This window comes from Homo sapiens, chromosome 1, assembly GCF_000001405.40.
Source record: "Homo sapiens chromosome 1, GRCh38.p14 Primary Assembly".
Classification (NCBI taxonomy): Eukaryota; Metazoa; Chordata; class Mammalia; order Primates; family Hominidae; genus Homo; species Homo sapiens.
Window position 1 is genome coordinate 105,106,295 of NC_000001.11, and position 6,000 is coordinate 105,112,294.

Consider the following 6,000-nt stretch of genomic DNA (forward strand, 5'->3'; position numbering starts at 1 on the left):
CTGGGTGGCACCAGCTGATCAGCTGATTGAATGAATTGTATGAAAAATATCTCAAGCACCAATCTTAGGCTTTACCATAGTTATGTTATTTCCAGACGCAATTTGGGGAGGTTTAGAATCTTGTTGCCTCTAGCTGCATGACTCCTAAGATCTTGTGGCTAATTTGTTAGTCCTACAAAATGAGTCTGGTCCCCAGGCAAGAAGAGGGTTTGTTTTGGAAAAAGGCTGGTGTCAGCTTTGTTTCAAAATTAAACTATAGGGCCAAGTGTGGTGGCTCACACCCATAATCCCAGCACTTTGGGAGGCTGAGGTGAGCAGATCATGAGGTCAACAGATAGAGAACATCCTCCTGGACAACATGGTGAGATCCCCTCACTACTAAAAGTACAAAAATTAGCTGGGTGTGGTGGTGCACACCTGTAGTCCCAGCTACTTGGGAGGCTGAGGCAGGAGAATCACTTGAACCTGGGAGGTGGAGGTTGCAGTGAGCCAAGATCATGCCACTGCACTCCAGCCTGGTGACAAAGCAAGACTCTGTCTCAAAAAAATAAATTAATTAATTAAATTAAATAAATAAACTATAATCTAAATTTCTTCCAAAATTAATTCGGCCTATGCTCAGAAATGAACAAAGACAGCTTGGAGGTTAGAAGCAAGATGGAGGAGTTAGTTACATCACATCTCTTTCACTGTCATAATTTTTCTACTGTTACGATTTTTGCAAAAGCATTTTCAATGAATTGATCCTATTAGTATGCCATGTTCCTTTTTTCTCTGGTAATTTTTTAAAATTCCTAAGTTTACATTTTCTGATATTGAAACTTCCATTGCAAAATTGTAATTGAGACAGTGAAAGAGATCTGACCTAACCAACTCCATCTTGCTTCTAATCTCCAAGCTGTCCTTGTTCATTCCTGGGTGTAGGCTGAACTAACTTTGGGAGGAACTTTATAGTTTAAAACAAAGATGATAACAGCCCTTTCAGAAGGCAAATCTCCTCCGTGCCTGGGGACTAAACTGACTGTAGGACCAACAAATTAGCCACAAGATTAGAAATTATTGCTTAGGAGTCATGCAGCTGTAGGCTACAAGATTGTGGACCCCCCTAAACTCCTCCTAAGATCAGTGCTTGTGAAATTTTGCAGGCCCCACACTTGATATATCAGCTGGCACCACCCAGATTGTAAACTACCTCCTCCAATTATGTGGCCCCCACCCAGGAACCGAATCAGCACAAGAAGACAGCTTCAATTCCCTATGATTTCATCTCCAAGCCAATCAGCCAACACTCTCAACTCACTGGCATTCCCCCGCCCACAAAATTATCCTTAAAATCTCTGACACCTGAATGCTCAGGGATACTGATTTGAGTGATAATAAAACTTCCATCTCCCAAACTGCCAGTTCTGTGTGAATTACTCTTTCTCTATTGCAATTCCCCCATCTTGATCAATTGGCTCTGTCTACGCAGTGGCAAGGTGAATCCATTGGGTGGTTACAATATTAATGCAGGTATTTTGGCTTTTCATCGAATAGTATTTAGATGATGTATTTTTTTAATCCATCATATTTAGTTTAATTAATTAATTTTTATGTTTAGGCTATTTATATTTGGTGTAACTCAAGGCTATCATTTTATTATATTTTGATTTTCTGTTTTCGGTTCCTCTCCTACTTTGTTTCCTTCTTTTAGATTATTTGAATAAATTCATTATTATATTTTAATTTATCTGCTTTCTTTTTTGGCTATATCTCTACTATGATTTTTAGTACTTAAAGGAATTATAATATGCATATATAACATTTTGTAGTTCATTTAGGTAAGCTTTTACCACTTTAAGTAAAAAAAAAAAAAGAAATCTCTCAGACAGATAATTCCTTAAACCTAACTACTTTGTATCACAGTTATGTATTATATGATGTATATTAAACTCCCTGACTATGCCATATTAGTTTTCTTTCAATGGGTGTAAATACTTTGAAGAACGTAGGCAGAGAAAAATATTATATTCACCCAGTTATTTGTCATTTCTGTTGCTTTTCCTTTATTTCTAAAATTCTGAGGTTCTCTGTAATATAATTTTCCTTTGCCCTAAAGACATTCTTTTAGTTTTTCTTTTAGAATAAATCTGTTGTAATTTTCTTCATTTTATAGTATCTTTGTAACACTTTCATTTCTGAAAAATATTTTTACTGGATATTGAATAATGGGTTGACAGTAATTTTTCTTCCATATTTTAAAGTTGTTTTTTACATTTTTTGTGTGGGTTGAAAAATGTGTAATAATTGAAATAGTTTCAAACAGTGACACATTTGTCATGTGTCTTTTTTGCATGTTCTACTTAGACATTGTTATGTCATTTTTGCATGTTCTACTTAGGCATTGTTATGGAACTTGAGCAGTGATACGATTTAGGTCAGTTCTTTTATTTTTTATTTTTTTTGAGTTTTGCTCTTGTCACCCAGGCTGGAGTGCAATGGCATGATCTCAGCTCACTGCAACCCTGCCTGCTGGGTTCGAGTGATTCTCCTACCTCAGCCTCCCAAGTAGCTGGGATTACAGGCATGTACCACCACGCCCAGCTGATTTTTGTATTTTTAGTAGAGATGGGGTTTCACCATGTTGGCCAGGATGGTCTCAATCTCTTGACCTCATGGTCCGCCCACCTCAGCCTCCCAAAGTGCTGGGATTACAGATGAGATGTGAAGCCAGCTGGACTTCCTGTGTCCAGTGGGGAATTGGAGAACTTTTCTGTCTAGCTAAAGGTTTGTAAATGCACCAATGAGCACTCTGTTAAAATGCACCAATCAGCACTCTGTGTCTAGCTAAAGGTTTGTAAACACACCAATCAGCACTCTGTAAAAATACACCAATCAGCACTCTGTGTCTAGCTAAAGGTTTGTAAATGCACCAATCAGCACTCTGTAAAAACGCACCAATCAGCACTCTGTAAAATGGATCAATCAGCAGGACATGGGTGGGGCCAAATAAGGGAATAAAAGCTAGCCACCAGAGCCAGCAGCAGAAAACCTGCACAGGTCCCCTTCCATGCTGTGGAAGCTTTGTTCTTTCACTCTTCACAATAAATCTTGCTGCTGCTCACGCTTTGGGGCTGCACTACCTTTATGAGCTATAACACTCACTGTGGAGGTCTGTGGCTTCACTTCTGAAGTCAGCAAGACCACAAACCCACCAGGAGGAACAAACAACTCTGGACGCACCACCTTTAAGAGCTGTAACACTCACCGTGAGGATCTGTGGCTTCATTCTTGAAGTCAGCAAGACCAAGAACCCACTGGAAGGAATAAATTCTGGACACATTTTGGTGCCTGAACAGGGACTATCACCAAGTGGTGAGTACCATCAGACCACTTTCACTTGCCATTCTGTCCTATTTTTCCTTAGAATTCAGGGGCTAAATACCAGGCACCTGTCGGCCAGTTAAAAGTGACTAGCATGGCTGCCAGACTAAAGACATGGGTGACAGGCTTTCTGGGAAAGGGCTCTCTAAAAACCCCCAAATCTTTGGAGTTTGGAGCATTGGTTTGCCTGGAACCAGCTTCCACTTTCCCTGTACTTCTGGACTGAGCCAAGGGTTGACAGAGAGGAAAGCCATTCAGCTTCGGGGTCCTGACAAGTTGGTTGACCTGCGGCCATGAGCAGAACTCTGAAAGTCACATCGCCCAAGCAAGACTCGCCCATCTAGCCTATCTATCTTGACCCTTGCCTCCTGAGTCCTAATGCTTGTCAGACAAACTTCCTCTCACCTCTCTTCTCTGAGGCTAGTCCCACTTCTAAAACCCACACCCTGTCTCTGGTGCTTTTCTAATTTCTCCTATAAGAGTGATTTCTAGTATAAACTACAGGAGTCTATTCACTTCTTTAGGCACAAAATTTTTGCCCACAGCCCTGTTGGGGTAGGGGACTATCTTATCTGGAATTTTAGGATCCCTCCTCGACTAGCAGGCCTAACAAAAGCTATTCCTGAAGACAGGATAGGGGGAGCCTCAGAAATGATATCCTTCCTATTCAAGTGAGGACAAAAGGCATTAAGCTTCCAACCCTGGAGATCCCTTCCCTCCCTCAGGGTATGGCCCTCCACTTCATTTTTTGGGGCATAACATCTTTATAGGACAGGGGTAAAGTCCCAATACTAACAGGAGAATGCTTAGGACTCTAACAGGTTTTCAAGAATGCATTGGTAAGGGCCTCTAAATCCGATTTTTCTCAGTCCTCTTTGTGGTCTAGGAGGACAGGCAAGGGTGCAGGTTTTCAAGAATGCATTGTAAGGGCCACTAAATCCAGCCTTCCTTGGTCCTCCTTGTGGTCTAGGAGGAAAACTAGTGTTTCTGCTACTGTGTGGGTGAGCGCAACTATTCCAATCAGCAGGGTCCAGGAACAGTTGCGGGTTCTTGGGCAGGGGGAGAAACAAACAAACCAAACGTGCAGGCGGTTTTGTCTTTCAGATGGGAAACACTCAGGCATCAACAGGCTCAGCCTTGAAATGCATCCTAAGCCATTGGGACCAATTTGACCCACAAACCCTGAAAAAGAGCTGGCTAATTTTTTTCTGCACTACAGCCTGGCCCCAATATTCCCTCTCTGATGGGGAAAAATGGCCACCTGAGGGAAGTATAAATTACAATACTATCCTGCAACTTGACCTTTTCTGTAAGGGGGAAGGCAAATGGAGTGAAATACCTTATGTCCAAGCTTTCTTTTCATTGAAGGAGAATACACAACTATGCAAAGCTTGCAATTTACATCCCACAGGAGGACCTCTCAACTTACCCCCATATCCTAGCCTCCCTATAGCTCCCCTTCCTATTAATGATAAGCCTCCTCTACTCTCCCCTGCCCAGAGGGAGACAAGCAAAGAAATCTCCAAAGGACCACAAAAACCCCCGTTCTATCAATTATGTCCCCTTCAAGCTGTAGGGGGAGGGGAATTTGGCCAAACCTGGGTACATGCCCCCTTCTCCCTCTCTGATTTAAAGCAGATCAAGGTATATCTGGGGAAGTTTTCAGATGATCCTGATAGGTACATAGATGTCCTACAGGGTCTAGGGCAAACCTTCAATCTCACTTGGAGAGATGTCATGCTATTGTTAGATCAAACCCTGGCCTTTAATGAAAAGAATGTGGCTTTAGCTGCAGCCTGAGAGTTTGGAGATACCTGGTATCTTAGTCAAGAAAATGATAGAATGACAGCCAAAAGGGACAAATTCCCTACCAGTCAGCAAGCCATCCCCAGTATGGATCCCCACTGGGACCTCAACTCAGATCAGGGGGACTGGAGTTGTAAACATCTGTTGACCTGTGTTCTAGAAGGACTTAGGAGAATTAGGAAAAAGCCCATGAATTATTCAGTGATGTCTACCATAACTCAGGGAAAGGAAGAAAATCCTTCTGCCTTCCTCGAGTGGCTATGGGAGGCCTTAAGAATATATACTCCCCTGTCACCTGACTCACTAGAGGGTCAATTGATCCTCAAAGATAAGTTTACTACCCAATCAGCAGCAGATATCAGGAGAAAGCTCCAAAAGTGAGCCCTGGGCCCTGAACAAAATCTGGAGGCATTATTAAACCTGGCACTGTAAGTGTTCTATAATAGGGACCAAGAGGAACAAGCCCAAAAGGAAAAGCAAGATCAGAGAAAGGCCGCAGCCTTAGTCATGGCCCTCAGACAAACAAACCTTGGTGGTTCAGAGAGGACAGAAAATGGAGCAGGCCAATCACCCAGTGGGGCTTGTTACCAGTGTGATTTGCAAGCACACCTTAAAAAAGATTGTCCAACAAGAAACAAGCTGCCCCCTCGTCCATGTCTGCAATGCTGAGGCAATCACTGGAAGGAACACTGACCCAGAGTGCAATGGGTTCTCTGGGTCAGAAGCCCCCAACCAGATGATCCAACAACAGGACTGAGGGTGCCCGGGGAAAACGCCAGCTAATGTCGTCACCCTCACTGAGCCCCAGGTACGTTTAACCATTGAGGGCCG